The 25,149-nt window shown below is 38.6% G+C and overlaps 1 long non-coding RNA gene across 1 annotated transcript in view, besides 1 other annotated feature; it reads left to right on the forward strand.

The window, feature by feature from the left end:
- Positions 1-25,149, forward strand: part of LOC107986836 (uncharacterized) — a 57,428-nt gene that overhangs the window by 17,055 nt on the left and 15,224 nt on the right. The window lies entirely within an intron of this gene.
- Positions 23,730-24,929: an enhancer, noted in NCBI's record as "CDK7 strongly-dependent group 2 enhancer chr7:108465150-108466349 (GRCh37/hg19 assembly coordinates)". NCBI's record gives its function as "activates an origin of replication core promoter dependent on BRD2, BRD4, P300/CBP, MED14 and CDK7 cofactors, with strong dependence on CDK7, by STARR-seq in HCT116 cells {active_cell/tissue: HCT116}" and the evidence as "EXISTENCE:reporter gene assay evidence [ECO:0000049][PMID:35650434]".

Below are 25,149 nucleotides of genomic sequence, written 5' to 3' on the forward strand. Positions count from 1 at the left end.
ATGGAGCAATGTGGAAAGGTCATGAGTTCTGATGTCAGAACAACTTCAGTGCCATTCATAGCTTCTCTACTTTCTAGCTCTGGACATTTAGTAAGTTATTTAAACTTTCTTTTTTTTTTTTTTTTTCAATTAAACCATCTGTAAAAGGGGTTGTTGATATGTGTCTACCAAAGATGCTAATATTTATTGAGAGTTTACAGTGTGCTAGTTACTCTTTGAGGCTTTTGACATGAAGTAACTCATTTAATGAAGAGTAGTTTTAAAGAGTCTATTGTATCATAACCATTATGCCAGCAGCAAAACACTTATCACACAAGGTCACTGTTCCTGATTTATGAGGATCTTGTACCCCTCCAGAATGTGTTCTTTTTGAAGGTAGAAACTAACTTCTTCATCTATCACCTTGTCTGTCTGGCAAAGCACTAGCATAAAATAGGTGCTAAATAATCACAGAGCCATCAGCAAAGCAGAGTTGGCTGTTGAACTGATATTGTATTAGATGCGACTTTTTGTTTGGCAAATGGGTTTCCATATTCATACCTAGGAATATTCTAGTGAAGAGTAAATACAAAGACAAGTTTTAAAATGCTATCTCTCTGTATTAAAATAAATACAACAAATCACTTTGTGGTAAAGTTTCTTAAATATTTTTAAATAAATGCTAATTTTATCCCCATATTGACACATGCTCTTATTTTTGATAGGACTATTTTTGTATGGGGCAGAGTAAATAATTAAGATTAAAACTGGCCAGGTTTCTAGTGAGAGAAAAAGAAAAAATGTATTGTATTTGGAGTTTTGTGAGTTTTAAAAAATTGCTTCATTTTGTTTTAATGATATCAGATTGGTGAAATGTTCAATATTGACATTTACTATTATAATTTGAATTTCTTATTCAAATGGCAAATATCTGATGGGAACTCAGAATGCTCGACTAGGCCTGTTCCATTGGGTCTTTAGTTAACCCGGAAAATGGAAGAGTCAGTCAGGATTGGGAATCTTGAGGGTCCCCATAGAGAGATTGTTCTATATTCCATATCTGTTTCATGATGATCCAAATGAGTCAGGAGAATGGGGTCTGGAGGCAGGGAACTTAAGGTCCATTTGTGATGAATCAAGGAAAAACATCAAGGCCCTGGGGCAGGGAATCTGCGGCCAATTTATGCTGACTTCCCAAAACTGGATCAAAAGGAAAACACCTGGGTCTGGGAGCAGGGACCTTAAGGCCAATTAAGGCAAACTTCCAAAAGCTGAACCAAAAGGAAAAACCCCATCTCCCCATGTCTAGTAACAAAGGGTCAAAGGCTACTCTCCCTACAACCCTACCGTTTCAGTTTCACCGCTTCTCAGATGGAAAGGGATAGTGTCCTGGATTAGCTGTGGGCCAAGCAGGGACCATCCCTTCATTTGCATAGGGCACCAATTCACCTCAGCCTTTAATTAGCCATAGGCCAAATCCTTCATCCAGATAAGGAATAACTGGTAGGAACCTCAAAAGGAGTACTTAAAACACAGAGAACTTTATAACTGGGCCCTCGAGCTGCTTGCTCGGCTGACTCCCACCCTGTGGAGTGCTTTCTCTCTTTAATAAATTCCTGCTTTCGCGGCTTTGTTCTTGTATTTTGTTCTTTTGTTACTTTGTGCATTTTGTGCAATTCTTTGTTCAAAACACCAAGGACCTGGACAACTTACACTCAAAGCTCTTCTTCTGATAATACAAGTAGACTGAGAAAGATTTGGGTGTTTTCTTTTGTTCATAAAGGAAAGGGATGTTGGGGTAGAGGCATATATCTGATTGTCCCTGATTCTGCTTGTCAGAGATTGTTTTGCACCACCCCACTTCACGGCAAAGCAAACAGAACAGGTCCTTTAAGGGGCATTCCAAAGAGGAAGTATAGGCATGTCGCAAAGTGCTAGGGAAACTCCATCCTGAAAAGTCAAGTCCCCATTAAAAGGAAAGTACTAAGTAAAGAAAAGGAATTTGGAAAGAAAATAAAATAGGACTATAACTTGGGTAGCTTGTTATTATTATAAAAGTCTCTTTTTTTTTGAATAGAAGAAGTAGAATTTAAAAGTTTAGGATCGTTACTCATTGGGGTCTGCTTTCTAACTCTCTGCTGAGATTTACTTATCATCTAAAAGCTGATGCCCCAGATCACTAGCCCAAACCTGTTTCTTCAGCTCTAGATCCATACATTCAACAGCCTAGTAGACTTCATACTTTTATGTCTCAGAGACAATTCAGCCTAAAACAAAACTTAATTCTTTCCCCCTTCCCCTTCTTTCTTCCCTTAAATTCCTATATTTCCAAGCTCGGTGGATGGCATTATTGCTTAGCCTCCTCCGAAGCCAGAAATGTAGGGATTATCCCAGATTTTTTTATTTCTCTGTATTCCACATCCGACTGGTCAGCAAACCTTATTCAATTGACCTCTGATATGGCTTGGCTCTGTGTCCCCACCCAACTCTCATCTTGAATTGCAATCCCTGTAATCACCGCATGTCAAGGGAGGCACCCAACGGGAGGTGATTTGATCATGGGGGGGCGGTTCCCCATGCTGTTCTTATGATAGTGAGTGAGTTCTCATAAGATATGATGGTTTTATAAATGTCTGGCATTTCCTGTGCTTGTGCTTCTCTCTGCGGCTGCCTTGTAAAGAAGGACGTGTTTGCTTCCCCTTCCACCATGATTGTAAGTTTCCTGAGGCCTCCCAGCCATGCAGAACTGTGAGTCAACTAAACCTCTTTCCTTTATAAATTACCCAGTGTCGGGTAGTATCTTTATACCAGTGTGAGAATGGACTAATACAACCTCTTTAGTATCTCTAAATTCAGGTCATATTTTCCCACTCTATCCTCACTGCCTTTGTTTAGACCCACGTCATTTCTTGTCTTAAAAACTGCAGCAGCCTGGGTCATCATGATATCTATTTCCTTGCCTGCATAAAATAGTGGGCCCTCCCTCCCTCCCTGCTTCCCTCTCTCCCCCCTGCCTCCCTCTCTCCTCCCTGCCTCCCTCTCTCCTCCCTTTGTCCTCCCTTCTATGCAGACAAAACACACAAGAAATAAAATCAAAGTTCTCTTTCTGAAATCTTTGCAATGGTTGTATCAGCCCTGTATCAGCCCTGCAATGGTTGTATCAGCCCTCATTGCTTTGATTTTGCTCTGTGAGGTGGTTTTGAGGAACAGTTTTATCTTCAGGCTGTGCTTTATGGGAAGGTTAGGGGAGCTTGACTCTAAATGGAATCTGGAAGAGAGTAAGATTCCAATAGCTTGTTCTGCCAGTTTCCTAAAGCAATAAAAACCACAAGCCTACCCATAGAGGGGTTGGACTGCATATAGGGGTTAGCAATTCTCCCCAAGCTGTATGTGTCTTCCCTTGATCTGCATTTTATTTCTCTGCTTGTCCTTCTTGGAGAGCCTACTTCTAGGGAGACAACCTGTCTGATACAGTTAGAGCATCCAGAAAACTCTCAGAAGAGCTCTCATCATTGTAGTTTTGTTATTTTCTCCTTTCTTTCTTTTTACATTTCATTTTGTTAGGTAGGAGGAACTAAGCCTAAAATTTGTTAGGTTAGGTTAGCAAAATGACTAGATGTTGCTACACTACTAATTTGTTTGTGAGATTCTCTTTCCAAGCTACGTAGATCCTGATTCTAATTAGCTGACTTGGAATTAAACTAGGTGAACTTGATTTTCCCCACAGAATCCAGTGAATTTTTTCTCCCAGTCTTCTGTGACTTCAGCACATCTGGGAAGTGATACTTTTATTATTCCAATTTGATACTTTCACTTTTTTTCTTAAAAGCCTTAAAAGGCATATGATTACCTTTAGTGTAAAATTTATGTTGAATGATTTGCTTTCCAAGCAGTGTACTGTGACCTGCCACGCTTGTCCTTTTCTACCTTCCATTCCTTCTGCCTAAGTTCCCCCCGCTCCTCAGTACCATGCATTTCTTCATCTGACCCTGTCTTATCCAATATTTAAAAGTCATCTCCAGTGCCATCTGGTCATGGAAGGATTTGCTTATTATCATTATTTCTTCCCACTTCCCACCAAACGTGGTGTAGGTAAATTTCCCATGCCCTCATAAAAAGAACCTGGTACTTACTTTTGTCCTAGCATTGGTGTACTTCTTGATCTCACTATCCAACAGACTAAGAAGTCCAAGATCACAAGTTTGACTTATTTGGTTTTGTTGTCTTGAGTCTAATACAGTGCCTGGGGCTTAGTAGTATTAAATATACCTTTGTTGACTAAATTTAAGAACCAAGTATAGGTCCCGGGGTATGCTGTTTTCAGTGAAATTTCAAACCATTTTTCCACAGGTAACCCGATACCTTCCAGTTTGTGTCACACCCTGTGAAAGACTCTTTGGACATTAAAGTTGGCCTAAATATTTCATGTAGTGCATCATATACAATTGAGGCAAGAAATTACCCATATAAATCTATGATGTTTTAGGTGACATGTATAAAGAAAGGATATTTAACATGATTATAAGTTAAGACTCATTAAATATTTTTAGAGTCTGACTGGATTATAGCTCCTTAGAGAAGAAAGAGAAAGTTCATAATCTACTATAGCTAAAGCTTTTTGGTTCACTTGGGATGGCACTGAATTAAGACCAAATGTTTATCCATCAATTGTACAAATAGACGACTTTTTCGTATATTATCAGAATAGATATTAACAAGGTTTGGTTTACTTAATTGTTCGCATTGAAATGATTGAATTGACTGAAGTTTTTCTGATCAGGTTCATGTGAAACAACAACACACAGGAATAGGAAGGGCAGGGGACAAAGCCCTCCGTCTCCCATATTGCTGTCTTATTGTCACTTTGTCAACCTTGATTTGTTGCATGAAAGTGGCGCAGTTGCAGTAAACTATCTCTCCATCTTTCATATTGGCCAAAAATGCTTGGTTTATTTACCTATTTTTGGAAAGTCTCAAAATGGAGGCCACAGATCTCTCATTGAGTGCCCAGTAGTGATGAGCTGAATCTGCCACTAGGTGTCATCGAATTTTCAAACAAATGGCTTTAAAGAACATTTCACTAAAAGCTAGCTTCAAGCCCCAGATTTTTGTTGATCCTTTTCATGGCGTCTTTGGAGTAAGTAATAATGCTATCATTCATCTGAACACATTTGATCTATTTAAATTTTGAAATTTATTTTGCCTTATCCAGCCCGTTGCATTGTGAACTGTTGCTTACAATGCGTGAATGGTACTTTTCATAATGCAATACTGATCTCGTCTTCACTTAAAAGATGTGAAAACTATTCAGAAGCACAAAACAATATATACTTAATAGACTTTCCATTACAGAAAGCTAATAAAAATTCCAACATGAATAGATTTTGCTTAGGAAATTACATTTCCATTTCTCTTGGGAAAAATGGGTACTTTATTTTTTATGTTCCTTCATAAATGACTACAAAAATTGCACAACTTCTGTGCATTCTAGAGTTGTGCAGCAATTTTATCAACTTTTAAAAAAGTGCTACTAAATTTTTGTTATCAATTACAAACTTTCCAATATGAACTCCTGATGTGTTGTTCATACTTTACCAAGGCTGTACATGCTGTTTTTCCACCAAAAAAAGGTAAGATTAAATGTAAGAAAAGGTAATCAGTAAAGCATAGCAATCCCTCACTTGCATATTTAATAATCTCTGATCACAGCAGGTATAATCGTTATCTAGTGGCATATCTAAATAATAGGCTTTCAAAATCAAGCCAAATGTAGTGTTATTGTGAACTGATGTATGTTTCTCATTTATGTTTTTTTGCAAAGATTATTAATAAGTGAAACTTCTTATAAAGGACTGACGTTTAGAACCGAAAATCTCATTTTCTATTGAGTTCATACATTGCATCTTTCTGTCCATTTCCCCTGTAGAAACTAGAAGTTTTCAGATTTAAACATAAAAAAGTCTCCTTTCAATACCACTGACCTATCAGATCTATCCCATTTACACATTGTGTCCTGAATGGAGGATTTTTTTCTAGAATAGTCAATTCCATGCTATTAAAACCTCTATAATAACAAAGCAATACAGGGATTATTATGTGTGGTTAGTGCCCTATAATTCTTAACAACTGCTAGCAAAGTTGATTAAACTTCTATTGGGTTAAACTCTGACCTAGGTTTATCCTGAGAACTTCTTGTCCTCTGTGGCTAATTCCGTGATGCTGCAATAAGTGTTACTTTCTCTCTACTGTGTCCGCATCAGGACAGTCACTGAAGTTGTTCATTTTGAGGGAAAAAATATGTAAGGATAAAGATTTTCACCCATAACAAGAAATCTATGGGTGACAGACAAAGGCTTAAAAATGAACAAAGATGATCAAGAACACTGCACTATACTGAGGGGTGATACTATGTCATTGATATCTTGGTATCATGGGTGCTGAAAACAGAGAAGGAACTGGATAAACATTCACTTGGTTGAATTAAGAAGGATTTTCAAGCACATGTAGAAGTTTCTGCTATTCTATGGGGTCTATGTTCCTGCCTATACAAAATTATACTGTCTTTTGAACAAGAAAGTATCATAATGGTATATAGTCAGGGTGGTATGCTTGAGTGTTGGGTAGTTGAGTTTTGGTGATAATTTTTTGGTCATACTCTCTTGCCTGTTCTATCTTGATCACTTGCATTGGTCATGAACTGGGTGCTGGGATTAGTGGACACATTTTACTTCATTTGACAGAAAGAGAAAGAGCCTCGGAAGGAGAAAGGGGCCTTGTACTTGCAAGAGAGTTGTGATTAAAGATGCAAGTACTAGTAAGTACTAGTGTAGAAATAGACTAAAGTTCAGATACTTACCATATGGAAATTAAAAACATAGTTTTCACCTCTTTAATGCAGTCTTCTAACCATCATGATCATTGATCATCTCTTGCATGTATAAAGGATAGAGTTCCACCTGGTCATTATTCTCCCACGGTCACATCACACCTACTGTAGTTACATGTGATTGCTCTGAAAATTTATTGTCATGTGGGAAAACTCCCGTTTACATTTGCGCCTCTGCTCCTGAATGGAGACCAGAAAATCAACTGTTGTCTTATTCAAACATGATTATACCCTAGGTCTGACTCTGGAAAATTAAATACAAAGGGGTCACATGTATTTAAAAATATAGTTATAAAGGAAGAGACTTCTGTCTAGCAAATTCAGGAGCAACCTCAGAGGTACTTTTCCAGATGTCCATAGATGAGATGATCTGAAGGTGGATTTCATTTAGACCAGTAGGCAACGGTCGGAAGTTCCATCATAGCCATCCACTCTCGATCAGAACAGCTCTGCTACATCTGTTTTACATGCAGAAGCAAATTGTGTAACTGGGCTCCTGGGCAGACTGGTTCAAAACTTGGCTTCCTTCCTCACAACTTGGGTGATCTCTGCAACTTAGTTAAATTCACTATTACCAACTTTCTTCAACTGATGTAAATTGGGGATAATAAAACTACCTGTCTCTGGGTTGTGCTGTAAGATTTAAATAAGCTAATACATATATTTAGAACAGTACCTGGCACATAGTAATGCTTAGTAAGCATTGGTTCTTGCTATTATCACTGTTATTATTTTGGATTTCTGCCTGCTAGTTCCTTTGAAAAATGGAACAATTTTCTTTGGCCAATAAATTTTGAAACCTACCAATCTAGACTATTAGTATATGAAAATTCTCTTTTCTCCACTCTAAGCATTTTGCCTGGTAATTGGAATGGGTTCCACAGATCAGAGCAATGAAGTGTTGAGGTCAGTGCTCAGTGAACCCTGATGAATTGTTCTTTGATGAGTTGTCATTTTCTGTTCTTAAAAGAGGCATTAAGAATTTATAACAATGTCCTAGTTGCATTATCATTTGGATGGTGTGTTTATGCTAATTTCGTCTGCCAATCCTAATTACCAGTGGTTAAATTCATTAAAAAATAATTTTTTTCCCAGACTCTTGTCTAAATCACCTTGCTTCCTAGAATATTTCAATTTCCTTTTGGTTCAATTGTCACAAGTATCAAATGATTTATTCACCAAACAGTGTAAATCAGAGGCACTTTTATTTATTCACTAGGCAGTTACTGAGTGCTTCTGTATGCTTTGTGGGTATCTAACAATTTCCTACAGAACCTTTGGGGTCATCTAGTCCAACAGATCACATATTAGAGTTATTTTATATGCTCAGTGACAGGTGGTTTTCTGTCTGTTACTTGAAGACTAGATTCTTGCCTGAGAATAGCTTATACTGTAGTTGGTAAGACATTATATAGAGTTAAGAGTAAAGTTAACAAAGCTCTCACATTTTGCAATCTGGTAACTGAAGTGCAGATGTTACTTACTTGCCCAAGTCACAAGATGTGTAGCAATAGAGTTGAGAAAAGAATTTAGATGCTCCAACTCGTTAAACACAACTTTATCATTATACCACTTTGCTCAGAGCTGTTTTCTCTTCTAAAAAGTGCTATAAACAGTACTTAGATGTTTAGATAGGCTACAAAACTAGACTTAGTACAAGACTTGCTTTTGTGTTCAGAAGTCATGGGTAAGAAATCAGGCAGTGCAAGACTTGCTTTTGTGGTCAGAAGTCATGGGTGAGAAATCAGGCTGTGTCACTGAACAGTTGTGTGAGGTACGGTCAAAACTGCAGAAGGCTCTACATCTTTTCAGTGGAAGGAAGGAAAAGATTCTGGAATACAGTTGATAGACAATAGAATTAACATTTTAGGAATGGTGAAATTGTACACCTTCTACTTCCAGTTGTCCTGGCAATGAACATTTATCTTATAATGATTTTATAATGAGAAAAATTCTTTTCTGCCTCATTCAAGAAAAATAGTAGTGTCTACTGCCCTTTGGGGAAGTGTGTGAGAGGACTTCATGGTTTTTCTTTACAAAGCTGAAGCCCAGTGAGATTTTAAGAGAGAGGGGTTTATTCCAAATTAAAGGATACTGTTAGAGACTAAAAGAGCAACAGGTAGAAGATTGTGGAATAGTAAACAAAAATAGAGGTTTACATAGTTTTACTATTTCATTTTGGGGAGAAGTTTAAGGCAAAATCTTTAATGATTCTGTGCTGGAGATAGAAGACAAAATGATGAGGAAAATACTTTTCAACTTTTGTAGTTATAGAATTAAATTCATTTTAGAGGTTTCAAAGCTCCTGGACAAAGAGCATGAATGATGTTTCAGGGCTAATCAACTAAGCAATTGAAAATCCGTGTGGTCTTCCCTGTATTTCCCATCCATTTGAGGTCTGAAAGGGACTTTGTACTCAAAAACCAGTTTTATTTCCTGACCTGTCAACTTGGCTAGAACTGCAGTGGTCTCTTGTGTGAATGCTCTTTCTGTCTTGTATTATTGGCCTGAAGCTTTGAGACTGCTAGGAGATGAAAAGGAGTGGAACCACTGAAATAACCAGCATTCTGACTTTCCTTACTCTTAAGATCAGATGCCTGTGCTTTCTCCATGCCATTCTTGGATTGTGGGACTCTTTGACCAATCTAGCAGACCCAGGGCAGATTCAGTTTCCTTGAAGTTTTATGTGACTATGGGTTGCAGTAACACTCCCAGTCCAATGGCTCATAACTCAACCTGGAGACATCCTTCTCTTTTCAAACCACATTCCTTCCAAGGTACTAAGCTTGTGAAAAGAAAAACCAGGATACTGTGCCATGAACGTCTCTTGAAACAAACAAACATGGAGTCTACTCACTGCTTCAATAATAAAGGAAAGTAAAGAAAATGTAGAGTAAACCATAAGTTATATCCTGACATGATTCTTCTCCATATAGATGGCACATACGTATTTCATCTGTAGACTGAGAACAGGCAAATGAAAACTCAGCCAAACAATGGGTCTTCTAAGTGTCCATCTGTCTCATGATCACGGAAGGCTTGGCTGGTGACCCTTTTTGCCTTGGATCATTCATCAGAGGTCTTTGCCATTTGAGTAGCTTCCAGTTTTTAGGTATTCATACTCCCAGCTGCTTCTGCTTGCCAGGAAATCTGTATCCATTGTCCTCTGGGATCCCTGACCTTATTTCATCTTCATTGGGTTCTTTTTCCCCTGAATTTCAGGCAGTTTACTGCTGGCAAATAGCTCACCTTCCATGTTGGACCAGGGGATGGTGATTTCTTCTTAGCTGTTTTCCTATGACATTACTATTTTTCTCTCTCTTTTCTCCTCACAATGTCTGGCATCATTTGTCAACTTGCATGCCAAAATTCCCTGACATAAAACTCAACTCACAAAGCATTTTATGAAGCATGCAGGGCTCTATAAGTGAGCAGTATTTTTCTGTATTAAATTAATGATATTCACTAAAACTTTGATTTTTCTCAAACAGTTGTATTCAAGGAAAATCAGTTTTAAATGGAAGAGGATAAAACAAGCAAATGATTTTGGATCTTTTAAAAAACATTAAAAATTAATGGCTCTTGTTCTTTTTGTATTTCTTATGCTGGAGCTACCTGTGACAAAATGGAGTCCTGGGTATATTGTGTGGATGCATTCTTGGCCCAAGTTCCATCAAAAGACTCAGAAAAATCTTTCCATCAGACAGTCCACAAAATTTCCACAATTGGCAGTCCAACTGCTGGTTGCCAACTGGTTGTCTAAGTGGCACCGGTGGCTTGCACAAGATTAAACATAAAAATGTTTAAACACGAATACCTCTGAGCTGCTTAAACCACGTGTCTGTACTGTGGGGAGACCTGCTTTTAGCTGTAATTCCAATTGCAAAGTTATGTTTCCTCCCAAAAGAATAAGTAAGATTGAGCCTTCTCTTTACCGGATGATAATCACAGAATGCAGAATGAAATGGCCAGGCTGTGTTGCAGAAATGGATTATGCACATGTAAGAATACCCACATAGGGCTGGGCATGGTGGCTCACACCTGTAATCCTAGAGCTTTGGGAAGACGAGGCAGAAGAATTATTGAGGCCAGGAGTTCAAGACCAGCCTGGGCAATGTAACAAGACCTTCATTTCTACAAAAAATAATTTTAAAAAATTAGCTAGGAAAGGTGGTGAGCACCTCAAGTCTTAGCTACTCAGGAGGTGAAGACAGGAGCATCATGTGAGCCCAGAAGTTTGAGATTATAGTGAGCTCTGACTGTGCCACTGCACTCCAGCCTGGGTGAGAGTGCGAGACTCTGTCTATAAAAAAATAAAAATTAAATAAAAAGAATACCCTCATGGGTTAATGAAGATAACAGAAACCTTAAAGGACCATCATTTATGTGATATTTTCTAATCGAGTGCCTGGCACATAGTAAGTGCTCAAAAAAACTCAGCTGAATATGAAAATTAAGCATATTAGAGGGAGTTCATGCCTTCTGGATGACTGTTACAAGGCTCAGAACTTAGGGTAACTAAGTGATCACTGACTAGAGATTATGAGTTCTACCCATGATTGCTTGGTGATATGGTTTGGCTCTATGTCTCCACCCAAATCTCATGTTGAATTGTAATTCTCATTGTTGGGGGAGGGACCTGGTGGAGGTGATTTGATCATGGGGGTGGATTTTCCACTTGTTATTCTTGTGATAGTGAGTTCTCATGAGATCTGGTTGTGAAAAAGTGTGTAGCACTTCCCTCTTCACTCTCTGTCTCTCCTGCTCCACCATGGGAAGATTGTGCCTGCTTCCCCCTCACCTTCTGCCGTAATTGTAAGTTTCCTGGTGGCTCCCTAGCCATGCCTCCTGCACAACCTGTAGAACTGTGAGTCAGTTAAGCCTCTCTTCTTCAGAAATTACCTAGTCTCAGGTATGTCTTTATAGCAGTGTGAGAATGCTATACGGAAAATTGTAATTTCTAATACAGAAAATTGGTAACAGAGAAGGTACCTGAAAATGCTGAAGTGACTTTGGAACTGGGTAATGGGCAGAGGTTTGAACAGTTTGGAGGGCCCAGAAGAAGACAGGAAGATGTGGGAAAGTTGGAATTTCCTAGAGACTTGTTGAATTGTTGTGACCAAAATGCTGATAGTGATATGGACAGTGAAGTTAAGGCTGAGGTGGTCTCAGACAGAGATTAGGAACTTATTGGGAATTGGGATAAAGGTGACTCTTGTGGTGCTTTAGCAAAAAGACTGGCAGCATTGTGACCCTGCTCTAGAGATCTGTGGAACTTTGAACTCAAGAGAGATGAATTAGGGTATCTAGTGGAAGAAATTTCTAAGCAGCAGAGTGTTCGAGATGTGGCCTTAAAAGACTATGCTTACTTGCATAAACAGAGAAATGACCTGAAACTAGAACTTTTATTTAAAAGGGAAGCTGAGCATAAAAGTTTGAAAAATTTGCAGCCTGACCATGTGGTAGGAAAGAAAAATGCATTTCTGGGGAGGAATTCAAGACTGCAGAAATTTGCATAAAAAGAGCTGAATGTTAATAGCCAAGACAATGGGGAAAATGCCTCCAGGGCATTTCAGAGACCTTTGCAGCAGCCCCTCCCATTCACAGACCTAGAGGCCTAGGAGGGAAAAATGGTTTCATGGGCAAGGCCTACGGCCCTGCTGCAATGTGCAGCCTCAGGACATGGAACCTCTAAATTTCAGAGGAAGTATGGAAATGCCTGGAAGTCCAGGGAGAAATCCATCACAGGGGCAGAGCCCTTATGGAGAACCTCTACTAGGGCAGTGCAGAGGGGAAATGTGGGGTTGGAGCCCGCACACATAGTCCCCACTGGGGCACTGCCTAGTGGAGCTGTGAGAAGAGGACCACAATCCTCCAGGCCCCAAAATGGTAGGTCCAGTGACAGCTTGCACTGTGCACCTGGAAAAACCACAAGCACTCAATGCCAGCCTGTTAAAGCAGCCATGGGTGCTATACCCTGCAGAACCACAGGGGCAGAGCTGCCCAAGGCCTGGGAGCCCACCCCTTGCATCAGTATGACCTGGATGTGAGACATGGAGTCAAAGGAGATTATTTTGGAGCTTTAATATTTGATGACTGCCCAGCTGGGTTTCAGACTTGCAAGGGGCCTGTATCCCCTTTGTTTTGGCCAATTTCTCTCTTTCGGAACAGTAGCATTTACCCAATGCCTGTACGCCTCTTGTATCTTCAAAATAACCAACTTGTTTTTGATTTTACAGGCTCATAGGTGTAAGGGACTTGCCTTGTCTCAGATGAGACTTTAGAGTTGGACTTTTGAGTTAATGCTGGAATGAATGAAGACTTTGGGGGACTGTTGGGAGGGCATGATTATTTTTGGAATGTGAGAACATGAGATTTGGGAGGGGCCAGGGGCAGAATGATGTGGTTTGTCTCTGTGTTTCCACTCAAACCTCATGTTGAATGGTAATTCCCAGGGTTGGGGGAGGGACCTGGTGGGAGGTGACTGAATCATGGGGGCAGATTTCACCCTTGCTGTTCTTGTAAGAGTGAGTTCTCATGAGATCTGGTTGTTTAAATGTGTGTAGCACTTCCTCTTTGGCTGTTTCTCTCCTGTTCTGCCATGTGAAGATTGTGCCTGCTTCCTCTTCACCTTCCTCCATGATTGTAAGTTTCCTGAGGCCTCTCCAGCCATGCTTCTTGTATAGCCTGCAAAACTTTGAGTCAGTTAAACCTCTTTTATTCATAAGTTACCCATTCTCAGGTATGTCTTTATAGCAGTGTGAAAATAGACTAATACACTTGGTATTGATGTCTGATTGTATACGACCCCCTAACCTTGCCCTGAAACTTATTAATATTGTTCTTAGGACAATGTTCACACTCCTTAGTAAACCATATGCCATGATTTGACACATGTTTATCTTTTCACGTTCATTTTTAGATACAGTCCCCATTCCTCAATCCAACTCTACAAAAGTTCTGTGCATTAGCCATCTCAAACAACTTGCTTGTTGAATTGATGAACAAATTATAGTACATCCATACAATGGAATAATATTTAGCAACACAAAGGCATGTACTACTGATGCACACAACATGAACAAACATCAGAAACTTTATATTGATACCCAGACACATGATTTCATTAACATGAAATTCGAAACCAGGCAAAACCAATTTATGGTAATACAAATTAGAACAGAGATTGACTATGATTGGAAGGAACTGACTGAAAGGGATACAGGCGATCTTTCTTGTAGGGGGTGGTGACGATGTTCTATATCCTGATTGGGGTGTGAAGGACACAGTTGAATATGTTTGCCAAAATTCATTCAAGTGTACATTTTACTATATGTAAATTTTACCGAACAACAACAACAACAACAACAACAACAACAACAACAACAACAACAAAACACAACTTTCTCTTTATAGATCAAGTTATGCTGTGTCAGGTCTCCACTCATTTGCTCATGCCCTCTGCAGGGAATTCTTATCTCCACCCTCAACAGCACCTTTCTGTTCCACTAGTTTATAAAACTCAGATAAAGAGATTCCTCCTCTGAAGCATTTCTTGACATTTCCCAGTACCAATCAGGCGAATTGTCTCTGCCCTTGTACAGAGGGTAGTACATTCTTTGTGTTCTCTTCACAAGTTCCTTAATTAGAAGGTACTGGGCATTTTTATGCATACTCCATGAATATATCATCTATAATTGTTGAATAATTATCCATAAATAACTATGCAGTAATGATAACTGTTCAACAACTACAACTAGTAATCTTTAGGTTATAGTTTCAGCCATTCTCAGGAAGTTCTTTTCTCAGCTATTTTCTTCACCATCCTCTTATGGTGTGAATCTTCTGGTGAGATAGTTTTCTACACTTTCCTCTACATGCTGCCTGTCTTTTCAGGAGACTCTCGGATGGTAGAAAGGCTAAAGAGTCACACAGACTCCCACAAGACTGGCTTCCCTCATGAGCTGTATGACCTTGGGACAGTAACTCAGTTTTGCTGGGTCTTGGTTTTTTCTTGCCTGAGATGGAGATAATAGTGTCCAACTCTTGACATTATGAGGAATAAATGCAAACATAGTTAACAGCTCACAGTCTAGGACTTGGCCACAATAGGTGCTGCATAAATAGCCCCTAGGGTCTGCTGCTGGCCTGATTAGATCATTGCTTTTCACTAATACGGGCTCTGTGGCTTGTTAGGCTTGCTGCCCACTGCTGGCCTGGTTTCAGTTGTGCTGTCTGCTGGTCAGATAGATATCTGCACCAAGAGCAATCATAGCTTTTCCTATGTTTCCTGACTGTTGAGGCAAGTGAGGTTATAGAGAGTTTCGGAGTTCTCCTTGGCTAAGTTGGCTTACATTTTGTTTGTTTTTAAGTACAAGCATACCTTCTATAATAGGTATTGGAGCTTTCCTCTTGAGTCATATCTTCTCTGTTTACAAGGTAAATGTGTCTAGTTTCCCAGCTAGTCACCCATAGTTGTGCCTTTCATGAAGTAACACCTCTGATCTTCTTTGGGGTACGTTTTATTGACTACCGAAGGCCATGCAGCACTGGGACGTTGATAGCACAGCCCTGCTCAGGTGTCTGCCTTGCCTCTCAGCAAGGGAAAATCCTCTTTCCTAAAGGGTAGTTTCAGATATATCTTAGGGATCAATGTCTCATCATTCTCATCATCATCTGACAAAAGCAGTCAAATTAGCAGAGGCTATTGTTGGCAAGCTACATCATCACCCTCCTTTTATAAGTCAGTTGGAGGGATGAGGTATGGTGAGGATGAACTCTCCTAGAATCAGGGCTCAGGATCCTTGCTGTGAAAAATCAGAGATAAGAATAACAACATATATGACAAAATTTCAGTTTCTCTCTTAAATAAACACACATATGTTGTTGGCACTATTGTTAAATCATGGAGATTGGACTAACTTTTCAACCCATACATAGAATGAAGAGAGGGGACATATATTTTCCTGAGGTTAATAGCTGACACTAGTGGTCAGGAACATAACTTGTTAAATGAAAGGGAGAAAAGACATAAGAAGAGAGGAAAATGATGTGCAAGGAGATGAGAGAATAGAAATTACATAGAATTACTGTTTTACTGGTGGGAAAAGCAGTAAGGGGTCACACGGCCTGTCTCCTATGCCTTCCAGAAGAAAGGAAGACAGCTCTTGGAAGAAGACACCTCTGGCACTGTCTCCTTAGTAAGGCTGTTTGTGCAGAATCCTAGGTGGGGAGGAGTGTAAGGAGCAGCTATGCAGAAGGGGAGAAAGAAGGCAAGAAGAAGCTCACTGTCTCCATGGAAAGAATCCTAGAAAGGAAGGTGGTGGATTACGTGAAATGGTTGAACCCCTTCCTTTAAATTAACCTGCAAATGCCTCTGTAATAATTCACAGGGCACCTCAGAGGATTCCATATTTGATTGGCAGCATGTGGAGGAATAGATCCCCTTAAGGCACCATTTTGTAGGAAGGGCTTCTTGCCCCATCTGTCCATCCCCTGATCCCGAGTTACAGCTGCTGCAGACACTTTCAATCACGTGGTACAAATATCCACTTAGACACTCTTATAAGTTTAGGTTTTATAAAGACAACATTAAATGTGACTAGGTGAGAAGCTGAATTCATGTATATAGTCATTGTTTTTAATTAATATACTACTTAATAAACAGAAATATTAAACTTTATACATATGGTAAACTGTATTATGACTCACAGAATTGTTATGGTATTATTGACAACTAAGGAATTGGACACTAAAGGAATGTTCTCTTCTGGATCTAGTGTGTGTCTTTTTAAAAATTTTTGTGTGTATGATGATCCTCTTTTGTGTTCCGCATGATTCTTGCAGAATCATGTGTTTCTTGAGTCAGGCTTGATTAATTGTGAAAATTCTCAATGGTTTGATAAAAATAAAATTAAAATTAAAATTAAAAAATTACAGCCTTTGTAACAGCACCATCAGTTCTTAATTTACTGCTTTGGATGTTTGACATGAGGGACCCCTTAACAACAGCAACAATAATGGGAAACGCTTATCTATTCTACGCACTCCATGTGTGTGAACAACTTAATTTAACAAAAACTTCATGAGGTAATAGCTTTTGCTATCCCCATTTTATTATTGGGAAATTTAGGTACAGAGATGTAGAGTAACTTGCTCAAGGTCTCTGTGCTGGTAATTGGTAGAGGGGTTGAACCTGGGCAGTCTGAATCCAGAACCTGTGCCTTTAACCACCATTTACCTCTTAAAAGCTTCATTTTTCCCAAAAGCATCTTTGAAACCTGGCTGTTAGTATTATCTGGAACGGTTTCTGTCCTCTACCTAGTAATCAGAAGAATTCCATGGGTCATCCTGTGTGTTGACAAAAGATTTAACATCCAACAAGACTGATACATGGTAAAGCTAATCCTACTATGCAGAAGTCTTTTTATCTTTTTTTTTTTTTTACTTTTCCACAACAGCCAAAGTCTCTATAACCTGCTGTAACTTTTAAATTCAATAAATAGATTTTCATTCCTGTTTGTATGTGCTACAAATTAAATAATCAATTTTTTTTGCCTTAATATGCATGTAATCCAAAGAACAGGATAGGATATAGTCAAAGTTTGGCATAGCACACAGGGGAGGGGGATGAGGAGTTGGAGAGAGCCCATCTGGATGTGTCTCATCCACATCTGGCTAGGGAGAACAGCTAGGGAGAGAAATGATGATGGTACCTTGATGCAGATGTTGAAAGTGGGAGAGAGAGTTCACAAATGGGCAGGGAATAAAGCATAGCTAAGTCTGGCATCTGTCTCATAAGAAATAAAGGAGTGATAGGAAGGAAGGAGCAGTGAAGTGAGTTTTGAGCCTGACCTTGAAAGAAATGATGGATTTGGACAGATAGTATGATACAGGGTAATCTGTATGGGTGAAAATATGAGCAACATTTGGAGGGAAAAATGACCAAGATGTGGGGAATCTGCAGTAGTTCTCCTCATTTTTCACCGGATGTAGCAATCTCTATTATTATGGTTATTGGTTTTTGGCTTCTGAGATAATTTTAACTTATTTTTAGAAATTTTATTACAGCTTTATCTTCATTGTGACCAGATGTGAGCAGACTCCAAGCAATTGGAATTGTCTGGATATATTAGAGTGTGTGTATAGCAGACACATAAGTCAGACGTAGACTGTGTTAGATTATCAACAAATGCCAAAACACTTTGCACAAATGACAAAAACAAGAAACAAATTAAAAGCCCTATGAAGATTAATTGTTAATTTATGTAGCTATTACATGTAGTACCATCTAGTTTAGTAAGTTGTTGTATATTTCTTATAAAATCACTGTCTTGTAAGCTAATGCTACTCATTTTTGGTCATTAATTTGCCCTTCTCTATGAGAACTAAGAGCCTTATAAAGCAATAGAATTATAAAGACTCGAGAGACAACTGAATCCAATCTTTGCATTTATGCAAATAGTCAAATAGAGGCTTAACGACATGAAATTATCGTCTTACGGTCACACAACTGGTTATCATCAGGTCTGATGCTAGAATTTTGTTGTCCTGACACTAAATGTCCTCTTTGGTGGCCTCTCTGGTGCCAATTTGAATTCAACATCTTAAGAAACTGGTATTGATTACATCATACATTATACACAAACAGTATGCTATGTTATAAGTCACATGAAGACTTTATGGAACAAAATAAAATATAACCAAAATTGAACTTTTGATCTATAACACATTAGAGAGATTGAAATTAGAAGCAAAGAAATATAAATATGAGAGTATTTTAGGGGTCTCGAATTAAAAACAAAACAAAACAAAACAAAACAAAACAAAACAAAAACGAAAAACTCGGACTAGTAGTAAACCAAAGTAGTAGATTCTTCATCAGGGAGTGATGTGATTCTTTTGCTGTTCTAGAAAGATAGAATGATCTTTCTAGAACACCATAAGAATATATATCTTATGGCATATCTTCTATATATGAATAAGACATACCATATATACGGTATGTCTTGCCATATATAGTAATAAGATATACCATAAGATATATATAAGAATATTCATATATGGCCATTTATCTTTGGCCATATTCATATATGGTCAAAATGCCAGAAGGAAACCAAGAGAGGAAAAATGGTACCAGAGGCTTCTGATGTACGCTAGGCTTGACAGGATGGTGTACCTTACAGGGATGGTGGCAGCTCTGGACCACTCTTATTATGACCGGATAAAGGCAAGAATGGGGAAAAGTGAAAGATTATTTGCCATGTTTCCTAATCAAGGCTTTGAAATGTATGAAGATTTGAAAAATGTAGCCACCCAAGCTTCAACTTTTATGATTCTGACTTTGTCTTGGGTGGATCCATCCTTCCATTGTAATAGTGTGTATGAAATGATAAGTGAGAATTGTGGGAACCAACAGAGAAAAGATATCTTTTAAAAAGCAGATTTAGAGATTCTTAGATATATAAAAGCAATTGTATTCCTTTACTTTGATAAGTTGTTTAACAAGTTGCACAAATAATGGCCGCTACCAGTTAATGTTATCCTTACAGATAACAAAGGTTAGGCTTAAACACTCCCAAACTACCAACTAGGCTTATCCATTTAGAAATGAGTAAATATTAAAAACTCAAGGATTATTTGCTTTTGAGTGTACATTTATTTGTATTTCATCTTTATTTCCTTTCTCTGTTTTCATTCTCTTCCCCAAATCCTTTGGTACTCCCTAATTTTTCTTTTAATAGATATATACCATTCTGTCCTTGCTCAGGGTCCTCTTTGCAGATAGCTTCCTCTGGGAGGAGGACAGAAAGGGAAACTAATGGTGCCAAACCACGTACCTGAATGAGAAGAGAAACAAAGTATTATGACTGCTTGATTTTAGGGCACTAGAGTGGTAGGATTTGTTTACAAGCACAGATTCTTGTCTCTGTCTACATCATTAATTTTCACACTGCTATAAATAACTTACCCAAAAATGGGTAATTTATAAAGAAAAGAGGTTTAATTGACTCACAGTTCCACATGGCTGAGGAGGACTCAGGAAACTTACAATCATGGTGGAAGGGGAAGCAGGCGCATATTACATGGTGGTAGGAGACAGAGTGTCTGAGAGCATAGGCAAAAACTACCATTTATAAAACCATCAGATCTTGTGAGAATTCATTCACTATTGTGAGAACAGCATGGGGGAAACTGCCCCTATAATCCAATCACCTCCCTCCCTCGACATGTGGGGATCATAAGTCCCTCCCCTAACATGTGGGCATTACAATTTGAGATGAGATTTGGGTGGGGATACAGGGCCAAATCATATTAACCTAATTCATCTGCTCTACTTTAGACATTCTGATCTGAAAATCTTGCTGTAAAATGTAGAAGAGTCATGGAAGGGCTCTTTAATCTTTTAAAGATTACCACTCACTCTTTTGCATTTCAGGATTATGTGTATCTCAGCCTCTACTTTGTAAACTCTGAAGGTACAGGCTGAAGATTCACAAATTCAGGTCTTCATCTTGGGCTTCTCTGAACTCCACACTTACATATTCAACATCACCACTTGTACCTGTAACAAGCATCTCACTTTTAATGCATGCATAACTGAGTCTGTTAATTTTCCCCCAAAGCCTGCTTCCCCATTCCTACTCCTCCTGACTTCCCCATCTTGATTATTTACAAGTTCATTCATACAGTCCTTTGGAACAAAAACACACGAATAAAGAAAACCCTGGAGTCATTCTTGACTAGTTTCTTTCATTCACCTTTCACATCTAATTTGTGAACCAGCAAATTCCATCCTCTAAATCTTCAAAATATACCCAGGCTTCCAGGTATGATAAACTGGCTTGGCGCTAACTAATCCTCCCAGTGAGAGCAACCAGAAAATCTGAATAAAATACAGAAAGGCATCTGCTTAGAGTCATTGGATGGCTACCAAGGCAGTCAGGATTTGAGAAGTCATAATCCTAGAGTAAAGGGAATTGCAGAGAAGTTGTCTTGTATGCCACTTTTCCTCTTGAGGCAGTGCAGGCCAGGAGGTAGAGAGGCTAAGCAGAAAGCAGCCATCTCCGCAGCTGGTAGTGCTGCGGAGATAAAACTGAAGGTAGGGTCTGCCAGGTAGACGGGTCCAGATCCTTAGTTGACAGCCTTAAAGGACTGCATGCAAAGAATAAGAGAAAATCAGAATTAGAATAACCCTGATAAAGATTGAAACCTTCAAGTCAATCAACTTAAACTCTGATTGAGATAATGGTCCTGCTCCTACTCCAGCTCCCTCCCAGAAGCTTAAGAAGCCCTCTTTGGAGACAGAACTCACCCTTTTGGATCTTTTATGACTTTTGTGTACAATGTCCTGACACATTACTAGACAAGACTACTGGAAGAAATAGAAAACAGAAACACCTAAGGTGATTCAGATATTGAAATGTAAAATAATTCTAAAAATTATGTTCAAGAAAAAGAGAAAAGAAAATGGAGAATTTCCCTGGAGAACCAAAATCTATAATAAAGAATAAATGAACATTCAAGAATCAAAAATCATCCTTTCCTGATAGTGATAATTTTTTAAATGCCCTCTCTTTTTTTCTTGATAAATTAATGGTTTTAAAAATTTTGTTAGGCATCTCCAAGAACATACTTTGGTTTTATTAATTATTTCTAGAGAAACATATTTTAATTATAGGTTTATTTCCAATAGGCAGCTATATGTAACCCAGTAAAGTACTCTAGGATTCAGTTATTACATCTGAAAAAAATGCAGGTTTTAGATTAAATGAGTATTTACAGAACTTGTGTAAAATGTTGGGTTTGAGTTGTGAAGAGAAAAACTATGTTGAAATGTGCTATAGACAGGTGGAAATTCAGAAGTGGGCTTAGGAGAGAAGTCTGGGCTAGACTTGTAGGTTATTTTAGTCATTTGCCAAGAAGTGGTAGTTAAAACCAAGAGGGTGGATAGAATCACCAAAAAAGAAAGTGAAGAGGTGAAAGGAGTAGAAAAGCAGATCTTCCAATCTTTGTATTTCAAATCAGCTTTCTTAATCAATCCCAAAGCTTGATCACCAGCTGAACTACTATAATATAATGGCAGGAAAATAGGGTGGAATGGGAAGCTACTAATCAATGGGCGTAAGTTTCTATTAAGCAAGATAAACAAGCTCTAGAGTTCTGCTGTACAACATTGTACCTATAGTCTACAGTAATGCATTGTACAATTAAGAATTTAAGAGGATAAATCACGTTACATTTTCTTACCACAATAAAATAAAAAGACAGAATTATTAAAGAGAAAAAACTCCACACATCCTTCCCTTGCAAAAATGAAACAGTTTATGTTTTCCTAAATGATTTTCTTTTTCTTTTTAAGACACTTTTTCTAACAGAGGGAATATGTGGATGTATGTATATATGAGTGGATGATATACTTCAAAAGAGTAGGGTTCTTGAGATAGGCAAAAGAAAAATGGCTTCTAAAGATACGGTGAAAAGCAAAGATTGTACAGTTTTCATCTGTGGGATCAATTAATTTAAGGGCAAAATTATTGCAGTGGCCTACATTATAGATGAATCTAAGGGACACTGACACCAGGGCATAAGATTTCCGTGGACCTGTAATTTCAAAGCAGGTGTGGTTTCTTGAAAAATAAAGCATCTATTAAAGGTATATATTTATCACAACTGAAATATTTTCAAGTGTTGTGTTTTAGTCTTTCACATCTGTGTCATGTCCAAGATTCAATGCTTTTAATTTCTTGAGCAGATCAACCATAAATACTATGTGAACTTGATGACATGTTAGTCAATGGCCTCTAATCTCAAATTGAAAACTGTGCTGATCTGGCATGCTGTGTAAGACATTTTCATCTCTCTGGTATTATCAAAACCCCGACATGCTTTTAAAAAATTGTTAAAATTAACTACGACACTTGCTTTAGTATACACATTGCCTTATAATTTACAATGTATTTGCCATGCTGAAAGATTGATTTCAGATAGGTCTAGCTTGTCTGGCTGCGGAGAAAAAATTGTCATTCTGTTTTATGGAATAAAGCAAGATTCCACAAGACACATTCAGTTAAAATGAAGCAAAAACCGCAATGTTTGAGAATGGTAATGCCTTGTGTTATCTAGATTTATTGATCAAAATAAAATCAGTGTTCCATTTCAAATCAGCCTGCAGCAGCATGCTCTTTTCAACAGCCACAATTTTTTGAAAAGCTTCCACTGCATCCCTCCACCTCTTTTGTGCTGAAAAAATCTTATAGAATTGCATACTACCTGGAAGATTATTGAGTTGGTTTCTACTAGAAAGTGGTCCAATGAATTAAAGACCCATAGGTAGAAAAGCTTTTGAAAGTTGCTTTCTTAGCACCTGAAATTTCAAGGACTTTCCATTCAACTCAACAGGTTATATTGGAATAATCTAATATTACTTTAAAAATTGTAGCCTTAAACACTATGTAAAATGTTCCTCCATATAGACTCTTAAAACCTTTTCTTTTGTGGGAAATTATGTAAATAAGCTGTTAATTTTTAACTTAACAAAACAGGAGAGAAAAAGAAAAGAAAATGATACCTATTCTGGTAAACTATTGCTGCAAACTACCACAAAAGAACAAGCATTTTATTTCTTTTCAAAATCATATGGGCCAGGAATTCAGGCAGAGTTTGGCTGGGTGATCTGCATGATGCTGATTGAGATTACTTAGTGGTACTCAGCTGGCAGATGGACCGGGCTGGAGGTTCCCAGATGTTTTCACTTGCATATCTGGCATATTGGTGTGGATGGTTGGAAGCCTTGTCTTACAGGGCTTTCACCTTTTAATGAGAGTAGTTGCAAAGAACTTACAATTATCTTTAACACAGCAAACACAGTGTCAGTATGGATCCTTCAAGAAGCCAAGATGGGGATTAGATATGCAAGAGACTTATTGAGGGGAAACACCTGTGAAAAATAAAGAAGGTGGAAGCAGGATAAGTCTTCAGACCACAATCTAGGTCTGACATCTAAAAAAGAAAAGAGAGAAAGAATTGAGTAGGAAAATACTCAAACTTCAATGCAATTCTGGCTATGTCTCAGCTCTGAGCCAAAGTTTCCCATGACGGGGCTTCCTGTGGCAGGCAGAAATGGGCTGGATCCAGCACTCCCACTGTGCTGAGTCATTGGCTGGGAGCAGACTGAGGAAAGTATTGCCTGGTGAATCCGAAGGGGCAGAAGTTGGAGCTTTCCATCAGCTATGTTTCCCACAGTAAGTTCTGCTGAATGGTAATGGAAGTGAGGCACCTCTGTGGCCACCGTATTTACCCAGGTAAGCAATGCATAAATAAGACTGGGAAGACAAGGTATGGCAATAAGATGAGTAATTAGGTTTATTATAAATAAGTAAACAGCAATGTCTGAACTATTTCATATAGATGAGTAATGAAGAAGAACCATTGTCTTGATCAGCAGGGCTTGAGGGAGTCTGAGGAGTCACACTTGCTTCCTCCTTGCTGCCCAAAGAGAAAACAGCTGTAGTCTGGCTGCAGGCACTCAGTTCTTTGGCCAGGTTTATCTTCCAGGCCATTTCTGATTTATTGCATAGCATTCTTGTCTTTGTCTTTCCACAGGTCACTGGCCTGGGCAGCAGCTGGGTGTGGGCTGAGAGCTTTGTTGGGATGCTTGGGGAATAGTGCTGTCATTGCTCTACAGAAATGTAAGAAAAATAATGCTGAATGCAGACCATAATACCATGCTAGGAACCATTATGCAAAATCACCCAGGCCAAAGCAATTCTATTTGACTTATAAATTATGCCTAGAAGAAAGGCGAAAATAAAATTTCTAGGAGCTAGAATGTTAATTTTCTGCTTTGGCTCTTCAACTGGAACTGTCCAAATGACTTCCAGGACTGGAACTGCTTTTATTTTCTGCCTTTGAGTGCTTTTACATTTCTTCTCCAAGCAAGTCAGCACTGACTAAAGTGAATTATCCTTTGTTGTCTTCAGTAGTGACAGACCCTTCTGCCTAAGATCATGAAGAGGAGACAAATAGGAATTTGTCTTTGGTTCTTGTCCTGGAATGGAAAGCGATTTCTGTCAATTCTTGAGAGCAGAAGTTATTGGATTCATTTGGATGGTTTATTAAAAAAGCAGGCACCAGGGCTCCAGCCCTAGAGATTCTGGCTCTGCAGGTGTGGGATAGGGCCTGAAGCTTCTTTCCGTAATTTTAGAAAGTTTCACTGCTAAGTCTGGTGCACACTGAAGTTTGAGAATTATTGCTGTCAAACCTACGTAAGAGAGAGGAAGCAG

The sequence above is a fragment of the Homo sapiens genome, chromosome 7 (assembly GCF_000001405.40).
Source record: "Homo sapiens chromosome 7, GRCh38.p14 Primary Assembly".
NCBI classification, from domain to species: domain Eukaryota; kingdom Metazoa; phylum Chordata; class Mammalia; order Primates; family Hominidae; genus Homo; species Homo sapiens.